Consider the following 20,345-nt stretch of genomic DNA (forward strand, 5'->3'; position numbering starts at 1 on the left):
GGTAACACACCATATTGTGTGTCAGGAGACCTAAACTCCCATCATCAATGAGCAGTGTGACCTGGGGCAAGTCGCATCCCCTCTCTGGGCCTCAGTTACTCCCTCCATAAAATGAGAAGCCTGGAGCAAATGATCCTTAAGGCCTCTTCCAGCTCAGGCATCTAATGGTAGCATACTGCCAGGTACACAGTAGCTGCTCAGGGAATGGTTAGTAATTTAATCATAAGATTCAAGGCAGGATTCCACAGTTCCTGGCACCCATCTGCTTTCTTGCTTTGCATTTTGCCTCTGCCATTAGCAGATTTGTGTCCGGTGTCAGCCCAGGGCCTGGCATATAATAGATGTTAAAAAAATGTGAGCTGAGTCTATATATGCAGTACTTTTACAGTAGCCTAGAGACAGAACAGGATCTGACTGTGAACTGCAAGTGCTGATCACGGGGTCACAGCATGGGCCACACATTTCTTCTTGTTACAAGTTTCTGGCCTTCCTTTCTGGCCAATTGAAAGTCATTGCACTGAGGCTTAGATAATCAACCAAGCAGCACTACCCTGTTCCCTGAATAGTGCAGGCACTGCTTTTGCTCACACTGTTCCTTCTGCCTAGAACACCTGTCAGGGGCTGGGATGTTACTCCACCAATAAGCTAGCCTGGTGTTGTTTCTTAGATGCTGGTAGGAGACACAGGATTCCTGAGACACAGATAAAGCAGCCTGATCATCCTAGTTATGTCTGTTCCCCTTGTCCTCAACTCTCACGGGAACAACAACAGAGGGGTGCAGGTGGACATTACACCTGCAGTGTTTGTGACACAGCTGAGAAGCACTGAACTTGGGGAACCCACCACTGTTGCCACCACCACCACCACCTTTTTTTTTTTTTTTTTTTGAGGCAGAGCCTTGCTCTTTTGCCCAGGTAGAGTGCAGTGGCATGATCTCGGCTCAGTGCAACCTCTGCTTCCTGGGTTCAAGCGATTCTCACACCTCAGCCTTCCGAGTAGCTGGGACTACAGGTGCGTGCCACCACACCAGGCTAATTTTTGAAGTTTTAGTAGAGATGGGGTTTCACCATGTTGGTCAGGCTGGTCTTGAACTCCTGACTTCAGGTGATCTGCCTGCTTCGGCCTCCCAAAGTGCTGGGATCACAGGCATGAGCCACCACGCCTGGCCACCATCATCATTTTTATTGTAAGCAAGCCTGCTCTTTGGGAGATGTTCCCTTATCTCTTAAGGTTGCTGGCTGCAGACACGACCCTGAAGAATGGCAGGGGAAAGAGCAGTCATAGCCTTGCATTCATGGCACGCCCAGCAATAACATCCAGCCATGCTCTGGACCCATGGCGGGGGACCGCTCCCAGCAACTCTGGTCTCCTACCTCTGCTGGTCGAAGTTCTATCCGGCCTCCAGTGACAACTTCTGCTGAAAGATTCCCCAGCTCTCCCCTCACATACTCTCTCCTTCCCTTTTGTATTTCCTTAGAACCCTCATCTACACCTCTCTTTTGTGTCCACAGTGATCCCTCCCCTACCAGCAGAGTGCAAACGCTTTGAGGGCAGAAGTTGGTCCTTTTCATTCCTGCTTTCCACATCCAGATTGTTTGCAGCTAGCAGGTGCCTAGACCATATTTGTTGAGTTGGACGGAATCATAATTTTTCTGCATGTTATGCTTTTTCCAGAGAGTCTGCTGGACCGCCCCGTGGAATGTGAAAACATTCCAGAGGCTAAAAATATCGCCCCAAAGCCGCTGCAGGAGCTTCCTTGTAAGGGGTGATGTGACTCCAGAGGCTGGAAGTTTATGTTCACCAGGTGGCGCTCTGACTCTCAAGTTTCCCAATGCCTTTTTTAGAAAGGAAGGATTATGTTCCCTCTTTTAAAGTTTGTTCACTTAGGTCCCCCCCTCACATTAATTCCCTGTCACCAGCCCAGCACCCAGATTCGGATCCCAGCTGCCCATCTGAGCCTACGCCCTATTCAAGACCGGCATCTGGAGGGCACTGAGGATGTCCCCCCAGGGCACAGAAGGATGCTAAGGGATGCTGAGGGGAAAGCCCTGAAACTGGGATCTGAAGACCTAGGTTTGAGTCCCAACAATGACACTTACAAGTTGTGTTTCTTTGGGCAAGTCACTTAGCCTTTCTGGGTCCCTGTGAGTGTAGTCAAGAATAAAATGTGGAGATTATATAAACGCACTTTAAATTTGGTGTGGAGTCAGCTCCCCTGGGCTGGTGTTTGAGGTTTCACCACCTTCCTATGAACATGGTCAGCTTCTTTTTTTTGAGATGGAGTCTTGCTCTGTTGCCAGGCTGGAGTGCAGTGGTGTGATCTCGGCTCACTGCAACCTCTGACTCCCTAGTTCAAGCGATTCTTCTGCCTCAGCCTCCCAAGTAGCTGGGACTATAGGCGCATGCCACCATGCTGACTAATTTTTTAATCTTTAGTAGAGACAGGGTTTCACCATGTTGCCATGTTGGTCAGGTTGGTCTCAAACTCCTGACCTCATGATCCGCCCGCCTCAGCCTCCCAAAGTGCTAGGATTACAGGGGTGAGCCACCGTGCCCAGCCATGGTCTGCTTCTTTAACCCTGTAAGCCCCAGTTTCCCCATCAGCAAATCAGAAATAGATATAAAAATAACAATCATTTTATAGGGTTGTTGTAAGGATCAAGTAAAACAACGAATAGAAAGTGCTTGTCATAGTGCCTAGAATACAGTAAGCATTCAATTAATAAAAATCACATGTATATTGGCCAGGCATGGTGGCTCAAGCCTGTAATCCCAGCACTTTGGGAGGCTGAGGCAGGCGGATCATGAGATCAGGAGATCGAGACCATCCTGGCTAACATGGTGAAACCCCGTCTCTACTGAAAATACAAAAAATTAGCGGGCGTGGTGGCGGGCACCTGTAGTCCCAACTACTCGGGAGGCTGCGGCAGGAGAATGGCATGAACCCGGGAAGCGGAGCTTGCAGTGAGCCGAGATCGCGCCACTGCACTCCAGCCTGGGAGACAGAGCGAGGTTCTGTCTCAAAAAAATAAAATAAAATAAAATAACATGCGTATTATGAATCCCTGGCCCCTAAAACAGTGCCCAGCATTTAATAGGTGCTCAATATCTATTTGCTGGTAACAGGATTTTACAGATGAGGAAACTGAGGCACAAAGAGCTCAAGCCTACCCTCCCTGCAGGTTCCAGCACTAAGGAGTAGTGAAGCAATGATTCATAGCCAGGCAGTCTGACTCCAGGACCTGCACCCGTAGTCTCTATACCATGCTGTCGCACACAGACAGAGGTGTCATACATCACCATTTGTTCATTTAAAATATGCATTCAAGCCTGTAATCCCAGCACTTTGGGAGGCCGAGGCAGGCAGATCACTTGAGGTCAGGAGTTCGAGACCAGCCTGGCCAACATGGTGAAACCCCGTCTCTACTAAAAACACAAAAATTAGCCGGGTATGATGGTACACGCCTGTAGTCCCAGCTACGTGGGAGGCTGAGGCAGGAGAATCGCTTGAACCTGGGAGGCTGAGGCAGGAGAATCGCTTGAACCTGGGAGGCTGAGGCAGGAGAATCACTTGAACCTGGGAGGTGGAGGTTGCAGTGAGCTGAGATCCTGCCACTGCACTCCAGCCTGGGTGACAGAGTGAGACTCCATCTCAAAAAAAAAAAAAAAGAATATATATATATATATGCATTTATATATATATGCATTATATATATAAATGCTTACATATATATGCATTTAGGCCAGGTGCAGTGGCTCATGCCTATAATCTTAACACTTTAGGAGGCCGAGGAGGGAGGATCATTTGAGCCCAGGAGTTTGAAACCAGCCTGGGCAAGATGGCAAGATTCCGTCTCTATTTTTTTTTAATACATTCAGAGCCTTCTCCAAGTGGGCTGAGTTGGCAGTGAGAGCATTACCCGCTGAGAAGCCACATAGCTTTTCTCTCCCAAGGGGAGCCAGCCTGCTGGAAGAGGACCTGCTCAGCCAGGCCAAAGGCCAGAGGACTCATCTTATGACCGGGAGATGAAGACTAGCTCTGCAGCGTGGGGTCAGCTGTAGGTCTGAGGCATGCACTGTCCCCAGGGTAAGAGGGGCACCCTCAGTTCCATTGCTGCCCCTGCAGCCACTCAGTCATCTGCTCCACGTATTTTACTCAGGGTCTCCTATGAGCCAGGCACAGGCAAAGATGGATAAGACATGATATCCAATAGTTATGATGTAGCCGACTCAACACTGCTGCAGAGGGATGGTCCAACTGGGGGCCTAGAAGAGCAGCCTCAGAGGCTGGACCAAAAGGAAGCAGCATTTAAACTGAGCCTTGAAGGATAAATAGGAGTTTTGCTGTCAAGTGGGGTGTGGGAATGAGGGCATTCTGAGCTTACTTGGGAAATTTGGAAAGGATTAGTGGGTTGTATGCTGGGTGACAGCATGGGACAGGGAAGGAAGTGGCAAGCCAGGAAGTTGGAAATTGGTTGGGGACAAATTGTGAAATAGGCCACACAGAAGAGACAGCTTCTGTCCTGTCTCAGTAGGGGAAGCAGTGTAACAAACATCAGGTCTGTCTTTTAGAAAGATGTCATGACCTGGCTTGGTGGTTCACGCCTGTAATCCCAGCACTTTGGGAGCCAAGGGGGACAGATCACTTGAGGTCAGGAGCTCGAGACCAGCCTGGCCAACATGGCAAAGCCCTGTCTCTACTAAAAAAAATACAAAAATTAGCTGGGTGTGGTGGCACTCGCGACTGTAGTCCCAGCTACTTGGGAGACCGAGGCAGGAGAATCACTTGAGGCCGGGAGGCGGAGGTTGCAGTGAGCAGAGATTGCTCCACTGCCCTCCAACCTGGACGACAGAACAGTACTCTACCCCACCGCCCCCCACCCCCCCCCCCACAAAAAAAAGGAAAAAGAAAAAAGAAAGATGCCATGGGCACAAAGGTTGAGCATGAAGGAGAGAAGAGAGACTGGTGGTAGTTACCAGCTTCCTGGTCTGAACCCAGGTAGGCTTCATTCCTCCTCAGCAAAATGAGGGGAGTTGCGTGTATCTCTGTGGTTGTTTTGAGGGTTAAATGAGAACTCAGGTAAAGCGGTGGCACGGAATAATAATAATGTAAAGCATCGTTAGCCTCCATCACAGGCAGTTCGGCCTAGTAGTTAAGTCCGTGGGCTTTGCTTCCTCTTGGCCCTGGGTTTGTGTCCCAGCCATGTTAGGTAGCGTATTTTGAATGTGGGCAAGACAGAAGGATGGCAAGGAAGGGTTGGATAAAAGAGGGTGTGGACAATAAGCTTGTGCCGAGTGGAACGAGTGGCGGTGCCTCTGGTGGGTGATGGACTCTTACTCCGACATGGGTAACTCGGACAGCTTTGGACAGGACGAGGCGGGCCCTGGCAGGAGACTGCGGATGTCCAGGTGACAGTGGATGCCAGTTCAAAACCAGCACTGCTCTCCTCCCGCGCCCAGGAAGAGCCCAGAGGCCCGGGGTGGGCGCTATGGCAGGAAAGAGGGAAAAGGAGGAGGCAGGGCGGGCAGGGGCGGCCCCAGATGTGGCAAACTTGGCGCAGCAGCGCACGGGCGGACAGGGCGGAAGGCCCGCGTCGGGCTGGGAGATGCGCCCTGCCCTGGCCCGAGGACGAAGGAATCCGAGCTGGGGGCCTGGCGCAGAGGGGAAAGGGGGGCGCCAGGGTGGTGAGCGAGATGGAAAGAGAGATGGCAGGAAGCCGGGAGGAGCGCGCGGGGGAGGAGACAGCCGAGGGGAAGGGGAAGGGAAAGGGGCGGGTGGGAAGGGTGGAGAGCTGGAGACAGAAGGCGAGGAGGGCCGAGGGGAGGAGAGAGGAGAGGAAGGGTGGGGAAAGGAGGAGAGGAAGAGAGGACTAAGAGGGGAGCAAGGCGAGGAGGCCGCGGCGGGCGCAGCGGGCACCTGGGCCGTGCTGCCCCCGCGAGCAAGGCGCCGCCATTCCGCTGCTCGGGGCGCCGCCGCCGCCGCCACCGCGCCCAGGGGCCATGCTCCCGCCGCCCCCGCGCCAGCCGCCGCCCCAGGCGCGTGCGGCCCGCGGCGCGGTGCGCCTGCAGCGGCCCTTCCTGCGCAGCCCGCTGGGCGTGTTGCGGCTGCTGCAGCTGCTGGCCGGCGCTGCCTTCTGGATCACTATCGCCACCAGCAAGTACCAGGGCCCCGTGCACTTCGCGCTCTTCGTGTCCGTGCTCTTCTGGCTGCTCACCCTGGGCCTCTACTTCCTCACGCTGCTGGGCAAGCACGAGCTGGTCCCCGTGCTGGGCTCGCGCTGGCTCATGGTCAACGTGGCGCACGATGTGCTGGCGGCCGCGCTCTACGGCGCCGCCACCGGCATCATGAGCGACCAGATGCAGCGCCACAGCTACTGCAACCTCAAGGATTACCCGCTCCCCTGCGCCTACCACGCCTTCCTGGCGGCCGCCGTCTGCGGCGGCGTCTGCCACGGCCTCTACCTGCTTTCGGCGCTCTATGGCTGCGGGCGTCGCTGCCAGGGCAAGCAGGAGGTGGCGTGAGGCCGCCCGCGCCCGCCGCGGCCCCGATCGGGGCGGGGGAATCCCCGGAGACCAGCCTCCTTAATCCCTTCCCCCGCCGCCGCCCCGCGCGGGTGCGCCCTGGCACCCTCTCCCTGCCCTCCAGCGTTTCCACTGTCGCCCGCGCCCGGGAACCCTGACGCTCAGCTCCCGCCCGACGGCAGCGCCGCCGCCGCCCAGAATCCCAGCCCAGAATCCCGACCGCCGCGCCGGACGCGCCGTCTCCCGGGACAAGCGCAGGCTGCGATCCGAGGGGCTGACACACACTCGCAGACGAGCCGCCCCGAGGCGAAACCTCGCGGTTCCTCTTCCCTTCCCTGCTGAGACTAAGACGTGGACAGGGGCCGCGCAGATCCGGGGGAGGCTCCCAAATTGGAACCAGGCTTCTGGCTGCCCCCTTCCCTCCCGCCCCGTGGTCGGAAGAGCACTCCCTTCCCTGGCCCCTCATCCAGCCTCCGGTGCTGTAAAACGCAGGCGCTGGGCCGCGGGCGGAGCTGAGGACAGGCCTTGGCTGGTCCCAGGATGAGCGACGAGTTTGGTTTTAGCTGGGGATTGTGCTGGCATCCTGCGAAGCTCCTCCCAGCCGGTCTCTCTGTGCTCGGTTGTCTTGGGGTGGGGCCCATCCGCCGAGGTGGGGACCGATAGGAGAAGCCGGTGGGTTGTACCCTTACACTTGTGGAGTCTCCTCTTGCCTCTACCTACTCCGCCTTTGTCCTTAAGGTTTTTGCAGGCCAGTGCCAAACACACACTAACTGTCCTGGCCTCTCCGTGACACAAGTCTCTTCCCAGCCTTCCTCACAGGCTTCTGCCGCCCCCCTCATCTCCACCCTCCCCCATATCTGTTTGCATTAGGAGTTCCACGACCATGGTGGAATGTTAAGGTGAACCCCACCCCTTCTTACAGATGGGGACCCAGAGCCTGCTCTTGGGAACAGCCAGAGTAAGATTGGAACCCAGACTTGCAGTCCAGCGCTGTTTGCATTAAAAGGGTGGGTGAGTCAGGACCCCTGGCTCAGGAGCCGCCTCTCCTAAAAGAGGGTTTCAAGGCCAAATGGGTTTGTCAACGGTGCTGTCTCCCTTTCTTGGAGATGCTCATTAGCTTATCAAAGACTGAGAAGTCCCGCTGTTACAGAAATAATTTAGTTTGCTGTATTAACTGCTCCTGGGCCTGGAGCAGTATTCCCACCTTAAGATTCCCAGCATCCCTGTGCTGTCCCGGCTCTCATTCATGCCGAAGGGCCCAACCCATTGGCTGTGTTCTGTTTGAAGATTTGGGGGGCGCCTTCTCTTTCTTCCCCAGGGAATTCTCTAGCAGAGGGAGGGGACCCACCCCAGTGAGGAAGTAGATTGCTGCCTCTAGCCAGAGACCTGAACTGGGGAATTTGAACATTCCTTTACATTGTTGGAGAAATGAAGCCAAAGTTATTCAGATGGTTTTCCCAGGCTAAAGGAAAGTCACCTGCAAGAGATCCCGGCACTGATCTGGAGCAGCTGACAGGGTGGGTCTCCCTTACCAAAGAGAAGAACCACTCTCTGGCGCTGGGGTGACCTGCTGGCTGGGCCTGTAAGGTAAGACGCTTCTTGGTTTTCTGGAAGGGGTCCTGGGCATTTGAATAAAAAGCACAGAGCCTACTCCTTTTCCAGAAGTTAAAGGGTTTTTATTCAGAGCAAGTTGGAGAGGTGACGGTAATAACCACAATATCTACAGAGTTGTGAAAATTCAACCTTTTTGCTAAATCCTTCAATGGTCTGCTCTTTTATTTTTTCTTTCTCTTTTGTTTTGTTTTTGAGGCAGTCTTACTGGGTCACCCACGCTGGAGTGCAGTGATGTGATTATGGCTCAATGCAGTCTCGACCTCCCAGACTGAAGCGATCCTCTCACCTCAGCCTCCCGGGTAGCTGGGACTACAGGCACATACCACCATGCCTGGCTAGTTTTTAAATTTTTGTAGAGACAGGGCCCCATTGTATTTTGCATGCTGGTCTCGAACTCCTGGGCTCAAGAGATCCTCCCGTCTCAGCCTCCCAGAGTGTTGGGATTACAGATCTCAGCCACTGTGCCTGGCCAGGTCTGCTGTTTGAAAAGGCTCAACCTTCTCTGGATTAGAAACTAGAAGAGGGGAGGCTGCGTGTTTTTGTGAGCTTGTTTTTAAAGCTTAGGTGCACAGGTGTTAGCTTTCTCTGTGGAGGCTGCAAAGGTGTAGTTTCAGGGTGTGTGAAGCATGAATGTAGTTCTAGATATGTTGCCATCAGAGCACCTATGTAGCTCTATTATATGGTTGGCACGTCTCAAAGCATTTTATAGGTGTCCATTGATTCTCTCAGTAACCCTAATGAGGTGGGTTCTAATGTCATTGCCATATTCCAAATGAGGAGGTTGAATCCCAGAGAGGTTAAATACCTTGCCCAAGGTCTCCCAGCTAATGAGTGGTAGAGGTAGGATTTGAACCCTGGCAGCCTGGCCTCTTCATGACCAGGCTATACTCTATATAGTAGGGTATCAATACATGTTAGATACTGTTAATGTAGCTATTTTTTAAATTGTGGTAAAATATACATAAAATTTACCATCTTAACCATTTTTAAGTGTATAGTTCAGTGGCATTAAGAACATTCACAGCTAGTCGCAGTGGCTCATGTCTGTAATCCCAGCACTTTGGGGGGCCGAGGCTTGAGACTAGGAGTCCCCTCAGCCCCAAGTGCTGGTGCAGTGAGAGCCTGGGGTGAGACACTTGGGGTGCTTTGGAAGCCCTTTGACTTTGGTTCTCCTGTTGCAGGTTTCCATGTTGCTGAGGCCATGGAGATTCCCAGAGCTGGTCACACCGACCGCTCTCAGGGCCCGCTGCCCTGGGCTGGCAACACCATTCTGGCCTTGGCCTGCAGAAGCTTTCAGAGTCTTCACTGGCAGTAGGGGGAGATGGGGAGAGGAATGATCTCTGCCCAGCCCCTTCCTTTCCAAACCATGCAATGGAAGAGCCCAGATGGGTGAAGATTGATTTTGCCTTAACTCAAGAGAATTCCTGTTCTCCTTGTGCTATGATTTGGACACAAGATTCTGGATACCTGGAACTTAGCTGTGTACTCCTGTACCCTAAACAGTGGATTTGAGTTCCAGCGTTTATTCTTTTTTCCTTTTTTCAGATCACCATCTAAGTTACATCTTTAGCTCAGGTCCATCCTTCTCAAGATCTCCTTCTTAGCCCCCCAGCCCCTGGTGCTGTCTGTGGTCAGGTGACCTTACTCAGGAGCAGATATCTCCTTGGCCGCCATGGAGCCTCATCCATCCACACGTGCCTGTAGCATTCCAGAGCTCACTGCCCTTCTAGATGTGCCTTCCCGCTTGGCTTCCAGCGGCTTGTGCTCACTCTGTCTGCCAGGTATGAGAAGAACACGTAAGACCGCCACCACACTCACCCTCCCTCAAGGCCCTGTGCCATAGGGGTGGCCACCCGACCTGCCCCCAGAACTTTTGGATACTGGAGGCAGTTGCATAGGTCTCCCTCTCTGGGCACCAGGACTCAGTCCAGCCCAAGACTACTCTGGGCAGCTCCCATCCCAGTCTGGGGCCATTTGCAGACTCAGGAAAGGATTTCTACAGTGTTCTATAAAAGCCAAAAGAGAGAGTGGGTTTGGGAAGAGTGAGGGTGGTTGGGGAGAGGGGACCGATGTGCCTCATTGTTTAGTGGTGATTACAAATATGCTTTTCTGGATAAAGTTTGGTTGTTTGCTCTTGGTGTGTGTGTCTTCTGTCCTGGTCCTCTGTAGCGTCCCTCCATGTGAGGTCCTCCCATTCTATCTCATTGTGCCTCACGCCCTGCTGCTGGCCTCCTTTCTGCCTCTCTGGCTTCCTCTTTCCTTCTAGGAGGGAAAGAGAGTGAGTTCACAGATCTCTAGTGCAGTTAGGAGCTTGGGCCAGGGGTTGCCTGAGGACAGAAACCAGAGGGAAGAAAACTGCCTGTGTCCCTGATGGAGGCTGGAGGGAATTCCAGAGGCTTTTGTCCCTGCTCTCAATGGGCCCTCTGTTAGGGAGCTCCACTGCCTCTCATTCTGTGCGCAGAAAGACCGTGGTTGTGGAGCTAGAGGGTCCTGTTCTAGTCCAACCCCATCGTTTTACAGAAGAGGAAATGAAGTCCAGGGCGTGGTGGCAACCTGCCTGATGCTACACAGCTGATTAGGGGCAGAGTTGGGGTCTCCCGTAGCCAGGCCCTGTTTTTTTCCCTGCACACCACTGTGGCCTGCTCTGGTGTTGCCTCCTGGACCACACCCCACCTGCCTTTCACCCGATTCCCCAGAGATTCTTTGTCCAGCCAGCTGCTGGCTGCTGACGGATGCCCTGGAAAGGGTGTGAGGGCAGAGTTAAGAGGCTTCCTCCCAGGCTCCTCCTCCCTGTGCCCTGGGCGTGACATCTGCAGCCTGGAAAGAGGATTTTTCAAAACTCACCTGGAACATTCCTCCTCCCTGTGCCCTGGGCGTGACATCTGCAGCCAGGAAACAGGAAGATTTCAAAACTCACCTGGAACAGCTCCAGGCTGGGATCTGATGCCACGTGTGTGTGCGCCACACCCACTGTCTTCCAAAGAACCATTCCAGTGCCTGCGCACACAAACATACACAGGCACACACACTCTCTTCATAATTTGGTTTGTGACTGGAGAGTGGGGGAGGAAAACACCATCAGCTGCCAAGGCCCCTCCCCTACTCCCCTCTTCCCTCTCCTGTCTGTTCGTGAATTTCAGGCAAAGTAAAAAGTGGCTCTGCTTTCTGCAAAGGCTGGTAAGCCCCTGCTCTACTCTATTTTAGCAGTGGAGCGTTTTGCAGTTGAAAATGTGCTTCCCCCTGCATTACCCTATTTGATCTTCTCTGTAGTCTTTTGTTTCTTTTGAGATGGAGTCTTGCTCTGTCACTCAAGCTGTAATGCAATGGCATGATCTCAGCTCACTGCAACCTCCATCTCCCAGGTTCAAGCAATTCTGCCTCTGCCTTCTGAGTAGCTGGGACTACAGGCGCGCACCACCAGGCCCTACCAATTTTTGTATTTTTAATAGAGACGGGTTTTCACTATGTTAGCCAGGCTGGTCTCAAATTTCTGACCTCACATGATCCACCCGCCTCGGCCTCCCAAAATGCTGTGATTACAGGCGTAAGCTACTGCACCCAGCCCCTTCCCAGTAGTCTCATAGGTTGGCATTGTTGCCCCCCACATCTGCCACCTCATTCAATAGAGGAAATGGAGCCCAGAGAATGGAAAGGCCTTATCCATGGTCACAGAGCTGGCTAGCGGCAGGGCAGGGACTGGAAGGCAGAGGTTTCTTTAAGCCCTGTGGTCCTTTGGCAGGCTCTAGAGAGTCTAGGGAGTTTGGTTTTCCTTCCAGGAGACCAGGTGTTTAGGAATGGCCTAATCTGGCATTTCCTGCTTAGTGCACTTTGAAATAAGACACTGCTTCTCAGAGACATAATGAGGTCCTATGAGTGGGAAATCTCAGGGTTTATGTCTATTACTTTTCCTGCTTTTCTAGGGTTGGAGGTGGGGTGGTCAGCGGTAAAAAACAAGAATTAATAAATGAACATTTTCAATGATAAAAGGAAAAAGCAGGAATATGAGAGAGAAAAGTTTGGTTAGCATGATTTATTTACGTGTTTTTTGTTTGGTCACAATAGTTATTTATAAAATAAAATAGCAATATATATCCATGAAAATATAATACCAATATGCACCATCAAAAAACGTAAGCAGTATAGATTTGTAAAAAGAGAAGCTGGGCCAGGCGCAGTGGCTCATGCCTGTAATTCCCAACACTTTGGGAGGCTGAGGTGGGCAGATCACTTGAGCTCAGGAGTTCGAGACCAGCCTGGGCAACATGGCAAAACCCTGTCTTGACAAAAAATATGAAAAAAATCAGCTGGGCATGGTGGCGTGTGCCTGTGGTCCCAGCTATTCAGGAGGCTGAAGTGGGAGGATCTCTTGAGCCTGGGAGGTTGAGGCTGTAGTGAGCCATGATTGTGCCACTGCACTCCCACCTGGGCGACAGAGTGAGACCCTCAAAACAACAACGAAAAAAACAAAAAGTAAAAAGAGGCTGGGCGAGGTGGTTCACGCTCTGGGAGGCCAAGTTGGGTGGATCACTTGAGTTCAGGAATTTGAGACCAGCCTGGGCAACATGGTGAAACCCTGCCTCTACCAAAAAATACAAAAATTAGCCGGGCATGGTGACACGCACCTGTAGTCCCCAGCTACTCGAGAGGCTGAGAAGAGAATTGCTTCAACCTGGGAGGCAGAGGTTGCAGTGAGCCGAGATCGTGCCACTGCACTCCAGCCTGGGCAACAGAGTGAAACTCAGTGTCAAAAAAAAAAAAAAAGTATAAAGAAGTCATTTGACCATCCTAATCTCTCTTTTCTTTTTTTTTTTTTTTTTTGAGACGGAGTCTCGCTGTGTCGCCCAGGCTGGAGTGCAGTGGCGCGATCTGGGCTCACTGCAAGCTCCGCCTCCTGGGTTCACGCCATTCTCCTGCCTCAGCCTCCTGGGTAGCTGGGACCACAGGCGCCCACCACGATGCCTGGCTAATTTTTTTTTGTATTTTTAGTAGAGATGGGGTTTCACCGTGTTAGCCAGGATGGTCTCCATCTCCTGACCTTGTGATCCGCCCACCTCGGCCTCCCAAAGTGCTGGGATTACAGGTGTGAGCCACCACACCCGGCTTTTTTTTTTTTTTTTTTTTTGACGTGGAGTCTCACACTGTCCCCCAGGCTGGAATGCAGTGGCGTGATCTTGGCTCACTGCAAGCTCTGCTTCCCGGGTTCACGCCATTCTCCTGCCTCAGCCTCCCGAGTAGCTGGGACTATAGGTCCCTGCCACCACACCTGGCTATTTTTTTGTGTTTTTAGTAGAGATGGGGTTTCACCATGTTAACCAGGATGGTCTCGATCTCTTGATCGTATGATCTGCCTGCCTCGGCCTCCCAAAGTGCTGGGATTGCAGGCATGAGCCACCATGCCTGGCCTTGACCATCCTAATCTCATACCCTAGAGAAAAATCATTGTGTTTTGTTGTTGTTGTTTTGTTTTGTTTTTTTTTTTGTTTCGAGACACAGTCTTACTCTGTCGGCTAGGCTGGAGGACAGTGGCATGATCTTGGTTCACTGCAACCTCCGTCTCCCAGGTTCAGGTGATTCTAGTGCCTCAGTCTCCCGAGTAGCTGGGATTACAGGTGTGTGCCACCACAACCAGCTAATTTTTGTATTTTTAGTAGAGACAGAGTTTCACCATGTTGGCCAGGCTGGTCTCGAACTCCTGATCTGAGGTGATCCATCCACCAAAATCTTTGTTAACTATTAACTCTCCTTCCTCTTTTTTTTGAGACAGGGTCTTCCTCAGTTGTGCAGGTTGGAATGCAGTGGTGTGATCACGGCTCACTGCAGCCTCGACCTCCTGGGCTCAGGTCACCCTCCCACCTCAGTCTTCCAAGTAGCTGAGACTACAGACACATGCCACCACACCCAGCAATTTTTTTTTTTTTTTTTTTGTATTTTGGTAGAGACAGGGTTGTAACCAGTTGCCCAGCCTGGTCTTGAAGTCCTAGACTCAAACAATCCGCCGACATGGCCTCCCAAAGTGTTGGGATTACAGCCATGAGCAACCGCGCCGGACCTCTCTAGTTTTTATAACTAATCAAACATTTATGGATGTGCGCGCACACACACACACACACAGACTCTTGCACGACTTAACTTTTTAAATGTAACAATAATATAGTTCCAACTCTCTATGTCCATAGAAACAGTAGTCAGGGACTGCAAGAGTTCTATGGGCTTTCTGGAACCTTTATAACTTTCTTACACTGGTTAACTTTGTTAGTCCCTTGGGTGTTCCCTGTAGAGATCGTAATTAAACCCATAAAAGGAGGTGGGTCCTTTTCTAGTGATGAGGAAACAGATAGTGAGGGCAGGTGGTTCCCCGGGCCTGTGCCCTTTCTAACCCTTATGCTGCCAAGAGTAGCAAGGATGGGAGGAGCCCTGGAGTGGCTGCATCCCACTCCATAGCCAGTCTTGAGGATAGGAGTCCCAGGGACTAGGGTTGGTGGGGGCAGCTGGAAAGAGATGAGGAGGGCCTGAGACTTTCTGGGCCCGGTGGGGCAACGTATGCTGGGGAGGTGGTCAGAACCCAAGAAGAGCACTTAAGACATGCCTGGCAGGAGGTCTGTGGGACCCACCCAGGCCAGCCTCAACAGCCCATGGAAATTCCAGATTGGTTTCTAATCTGAAGGCCCTTCTTCCCTCCTTAATCCATGGCCTCATGGCCTCATTCCTTTATTCCTTTTATTTTTTTATTTTTTGAGACCAAGTTTCACTCTGTCACCCAGGCTGGAGTGCAGTGGCACGATCTCGGCTCATTGCAACATCTGCCTTCTGGTTCAAGCGATTCTCCTGCCTCAACCTCCTGAGTAGCTGGGATTACAGGCGCGTGCCACCACGCCCAGCTAATTTTTGTATTTTTAGTAGAGACGGGGTTTTACCCCGTTGGCCAGGCTGGTCTCGAACTCCTGACCTCAGGTGATCACCCAGCTTGGCCTCCCAAAGTGCTGGGATTACAGGCATGAGCCGCCACACCTGGCACCTCATTCCTTTTGAACTGGGTGGCTGTTTGGGATCTGGTAGGCACCAAGGCTGTGCCATTCCTTCCGCAGCACAGATGGGGACAGGAAGCTGCTGGAGGCTGGAGGCTGACCCTCCAGGCTTCATACTTGCCTGTCCCTCCAGCTAGAGGCAAGTTATCCTTGCTGCCATCTCCAGGATGCCTGAAGGCAGTGCTCTGACATGCAGTTGTGAAGCACTTCTGAGTCAAGGCTGGGAAGAGGGAGAAAGGGAAGTAGCTTTAGGAAGGACCTACCATGAGCCAAGAACATAATGGGTGCCTTATATAACATCTCTTATCCTCCCATTTCCACGAAGTAGCAAATACCCCCATTTAACAGTCATGGAAACAGGCTCACAGGGGTAGGTTGATGTGGCCTGGCACTTGAATGCGCACTGACCGAAACAAGATTCAAACTCAGGTCTGTGCCACCATGCCACCATGCTGCTTCAAGGATTTCCCAGCAGACAAGCTTTTTCCCAACCATCTGAATACTTCATCCAAACTTCATCCGAGTTTTGAAATATTTACATCTTGAGCTAATGCAGGAAAGAAAGACTAAAGAATAGGCCAGGAGGCCAGGTGCAGTGCCTCACGCCTGTAATCCCAGCACTTTGGGAGGCTGAGGCAGGTGGATCACTTGAGGTCAGGAATTCGACACCAGCCTGGCCAACATGGTGAAACCCCATCTCTACTACACACACACACACACACACACACACACACACACACACACACACACACACACAATTGGCTGGGCATGGTGGCGGGCATCTGTAATCCTAGCTACTCAGGAGGCTGAAGCAGGAGAATCGCTTGAACCCAGAAGCCAGAGGTTGCAGTGACAGAAGCCAGAGGTTGCAGTGAGCTGAGATGGTGCCACTGCACTCCAGTCTGGGTGATAGGCTGGGCGTGGTGGCTCACACCTGTAATCCCAACACTTGAGGAGGCCAAGGCAGGGGGATTGCTTGAGCCCAGGATTTCGAGACCAGCCTGAGCAACATAGCAAGACTCCATCTCTACAAAAAATAAAAAAATTAGCTGGGCATGGTGGCATGCAGCAGTAGTCCCAGCTACACGGGTGGCTGAAGTGAGAGGATTGCTTGAGCCCAGGAGGTTGAGGCTGTAGCGAGCTATGAGTGCACCACTGTACTCCAGCCTGGGTGACAGAGCAAGACCCTGTATATATTTAAAAAAAAGGTATTACAAATCTGAATTATGTCACTTCTCTCTTCCCAGGCTATAATGAAGTTAGCTAGTTACCTTTAGGTATAATCAGCTTATTATGCCGAGGTCACTCTCCCATTCCCTGGAGACCATCCCTCTGTCCGCAGGATGTGAGAAGGATATGTCAGAGGGCCTCCCAGCCCCTCCTCCCTCTCGTGGCCCTGTGCCAGAGGTGTGGACACCTGACCTGACTCCAAACTCTGGATACTAAAGCCTCTGCCTTTTGCAATCTTGTCCTGTACTCTGTTCTGTCTCCTTTTGTGTCTCCCAGGCAGTTAGCATGACTCGTTCTAATTTTTGGGTGAGCTCAGGCTGTGATGTCAGAGGTGAGCTCTATCTCTTATTAGTTGTCCAGTCTTAGGCAATTTATGAAACCTCTTTGCCTCTTAGCTTCCTCACTTAGTAAATGGGGATAATATTAGTACCTACCTCACTGGGCTGTTGAAAGAGCTTCATGAGATGAGGCGTGCCTGGCAATTTCATCAGTGCAATTCAGCCCTCAGCAGTATATGTTTGTTGGGAGGATTTCATAAGATATACATAAAATGCTGGGCTCAACGCCTGACCCACAGTCATAGTTAGTGCTCATAAATGTGAACTCCCTCCTGCCCCATTCCACTCTGGGTCTCCCTGCACCTAAGGAATGATAATCTCACCAGCCTTGGCTAATCCTTCTTTCTCATTGGTGTCTACTGTTCTTTCTTGAATTCTTTCTTGTGTGTGTGTGTGTGTGTGTTTTTTTTTTTTTTTTTGAGACGGAGTTTCACTCTTGTCACCCAGGCTGGAGTGCAATGGAGTGATCTCAGCTTACTGCCACTATGGAGGCTGAGGCAGGAGGCTCACTTGAGCCCAGGAGTTTGAGGTTGCAGTGAGCTATGATTATGCCACTGCACTCCAGCAAGACCCTGTCTCAAAAAAAAAAAAAAAGAGAAAGAAAACATATTCATAATGTCCAAAAGCTTCCCTGTGCTCTTTGTACTCCCTCTTCTTTCCTTCCCATCTCCCCCACACCAGGGAACCATTGATCTGCTTTCTATGATTATAGAATTCTAGAATTTTATATAAATGAAATGTATAGTATGTGCTCCTTTTGGGAGAGGGCGGTATCTGGCTTCTTTCACTCAGCTTAATTATTTTGAGATTCATTCATGATGTTGCAGTAACAGTAGTTCATTTTCATTGCTGAGTGAATATACAGATACACTATAATTTGTTTAGCCTGTTGATGGACATTTGTGTTGTTTCAAATTTTTGGTTATTGCAAATATAGCTGCTTTGAACGTTCATGTACACGTCTTTGTGTGGACACATATGCTTTAATTTATTTTGGGTAGACAGCTAGCAGTGGAATGGCTCATTTGTGTGGTAGGCTTATTGTTTTTATTATTTTAAAATTGTCTATACCCCAGATGAAATCTGGTGTGTGTGTGTGTGTGTGTGTGTGTGTGTGTGTGTGTGTGTGTTCTTGCTTGGGATTTGTAACAGAGGGGGTGATTCTGGACTCACAGACTAAATTAGGAAGTTTTTCATACTGTTCTATGCTCTGGAATAGTTTAACTATATCATTTTAAAAAATGGGTTCTAGCTGGCACGGTGGCTCATGCCTGTAATCCCAGCACTTTGGGAGGCCAAGGGGGGCAAATCACCTGAGGTCAGCAGTTCGAGACTAGCCTGGTCAACAAGTGTTCAATAAATACATCTTTATGTATTTATTTACTAGACCATTAAGTTTAGTAGAGACCAACCCTACCTCTCCAAAAAAGCAGAAAAATTAGCTGGTTGTGATGGCAGGTGCCTGTAGTCCCAGCTACTCGGGAGGCTGAGGCAGGAGAACTGCTTGAACCCAGGAGGCAGAGGTTGCAGTGAGCCGAGATCGCGCTGTACTCCAGCCTGGGCAACAGAGAGAGACAGACTCCGCCTCAGAAAAAAAAAAATGGGTTCGATAAAATTTGTCTATGAAATAAATCTGGGCCTGATGCCTTTTGGGTTTTACATTTTTATTTCTTTTTATTTTTAATTCTTTCAAGTTTGTAAATGATAGTTGGTGTATTCAGGTTTTTTGGTGGGTCACGTACTGCTCTCCCATTGGTGGTATACTTATTCAGGGTGTCTGTCTGTCCCACTAGGCTGTAAGCTTTTCAGGAAAGAATTCCAGGCTCTTCATCTCTATAATCCCATGAAAGGCACATGATACGTAGTCATTTGGTGGAATGAATAAATGCTGATGGCTAGCTGCTATAACAAATACACCTCAGCATTTCAGCAGTTTCATATAATGAAAATCTATTTGTTATTCATATACAAATCTATTTCTTCCTCACATAATTGTGCACTGTGGCTACTCTGGGGCAGAGGGAGACGCTCCACCATACGGTGACTCAAGGACCCAGGCTCCTTCCACCCCGTGGCTCGGCCATCTGCTCTGCACTGAGCTCGCAGGTGAGGGAGGAGAGGCAGGAGAAGGTTTCCTGCTTCCTGCATACCTTCATCTAGAAGTAACAGTCAGCGCTCCCACTCACCTCCTTGGGAGTAACAGGACCTGACCTATAAGCAGAGGATGCTGGGAAATGTAGTCCCTAGCCAGGCAGCTGCTGCGTAGCAACAACTCTATATCATGGTAGGGGGCACAGGACTTTTTGGTGGACAGTTAATCGTCGCTTTCAAGGGAGGCACAAGGTTTTATTGCTGAAGTTTTCATTGCCTTGCTCTGTGAACTCTTTTAGTGCCAGTGTTTGATGAATGGTTGTTTTCATGGCTGCCAAGAGCTGTTGAGTAAGAATGTAACTGCAGACAGTCATTTCCTTGCTGTGTTTGTCCAACAACCACTGTCTCACAGCTGGAAAACTCATTACTCATGAGTACTTCTTTCCCAGGTACAAGAACATAAAGATGTATTTATTGAACACTTTTTAGGGCAATGACACTGAACTGTTAATCCAAAAATATACACTGGTCAAACGATAAGCTTAAATACTAGAGAAAATCCAAATATTAAGGAGACTTTAAAGATACATACCAGTCAAATATTTCTTTCATTTGTCTATTCATTTTTTCTTTCTTTTTTTGTTTTGTTGCATCTATTCATTTTAAAAATGGAAACCTAATTCATATACCATAATATTTCACATAATATGACATAAAAATTCCCAGTTTTATTTTTATTTATTTATTTAGAGACAGAGTCTTGCTCTGTTGTCCAGGCTGGAGTGCAGTGGTGCGATTTCAGCTCACTGCAACCTCCGCCTCTCGGGTTCAATAGATTCTCCTGCCTCAGCCTCCCGAGTAGCTGGGATTACAGGCACCCACCACCATGCCAGGCTAATTTTTGTATTTTTCATAGAGATGGAGTTTCATCATGTTGGCCAGGCCGTTCTTGAACTCCTGACCTCAGGTGATCCACCTGCCTCAGCTTTCCAAAGTGCTGGGATTACAGGCGTGAGCCATTGCACCTGGCCAAAAATTCCTAGTTTTAAAGTGTACAATTCAGTGGTTTTCAGTATATTCAGAAGGTTGTATAACCATCACCACCATCTAATTCGAGGACATTTCCATCACCCCAAAGAGAAACCCTGTACCTGTTAGCAGTCACTCCCAGTTCCTCCCTCCTTCCAGTCTCTGGCAACCACTAATTTACTCTGTCTCTATAGATTTGCATATTCTGGCTGGGTGCGGTGGCTCGTGCCTTAATCCCAGCACTTTGGGAGGCTGAGGTGGGAAGATCACCTGAGGTCAGGAGTTCAAGACCAGCCTGGCCAACATGGTGAAACCCCATCTCTAGTAAAAATACAAAAAAATTAGCCAGGTGTGGTGGCGGGCGCCTGGTAATCTTAGCTACTCAGGAGGCTGAGGCAGGAGAATCACTTGAACCCAGGAGGCAGAGGTTGCAGTAAGCCAAGATCGTGCCACTGCACTCCAGCCTGGGTGACAGAGAGAGACTCTGCCTCAAAAA

General features: G+C 50.6%; 1 protein-coding gene across 1 annotated transcript, besides 3 other annotated features; it reads left to right on the forward strand.

Annotated features, from left to right (window-relative positions):
• Positions 1-5,853: 5,853 nt before the first annotated feature.
• Positions 5,854-10,274, forward strand: MARVELD1 (MARVEL domain containing 1). Its single transcript, NM_031484.4, has 2 exons — positions 5,854-8,109; positions 9,318-10,274. The coding sequence occupies exon 1, from the start codon at positions 6,001-6,003 to the stop codon at positions 6,520-6,522; it is 522 nt and encodes a 173-aa protein (NP_113672.1). The 5' UTR covers positions 5,854-6,000; the 3' UTR covers positions 6,523-8,109; positions 9,318-10,274.
• Positions 6,166-6,215: an enhancer, noted in NCBI's record as "active region_3858". NCBI's record gives its function as "activates an Ori minimal core promoter by ATAC-STARR-seq in GM12878 lymphoblastoid cells {active_cell/tissue: GM12878}" and the evidence as "EXISTENCE:reporter gene assay evidence [ECO:0000049][PMID:35858748]".
• Positions 6,526-6,745: a silencer, noted in NCBI's record as "silent region_2685". NCBI's record gives its function as "represses an Ori minimal core promoter by ATAC-STARR-seq in GM12878 lymphoblastoid cells {active_cell/tissue: GM12878}" and the evidence as "EXISTENCE:reporter gene assay evidence [ECO:0000049][PMID:35858748]".
• Positions 11,183-12,003: an enhancer, noted in NCBI's record as "H3K27ac-H3K4me1 hESC enhancer chr10:99478816-99479636 (GRCh37/hg19 assembly coordinates)". NCBI's record gives its function as "activates a minimal SCP1, AML or CMV promoter by ChIP-STARR-seq in primed H9 embryonic stem cells {active_cell/tissue: H9 hESC(primed)}" and the evidence as "EXISTENCE:reporter gene assay evidence [ECO:0000049][PMID:30033119]".

This window comes from Homo sapiens, chromosome 10 (genome assembly GCF_000001405.40).
Source record: "Homo sapiens chromosome 10, GRCh38.p14 Primary Assembly".
Classification (NCBI taxonomy): Eukaryota; Metazoa; Chordata; class Mammalia; order Primates; family Hominidae; genus Homo; species Homo sapiens.

Bases quoted from the DNA above. Each gene is read 5' to 3' on its own strand.
- MARVELD1 (NM_031484.4), top strand. From the start codon at position 6,001: ATGCTCCCGCCGCCCCCGCGCCAGCCGCCGCCCCAGGCGCGTGCGGCC.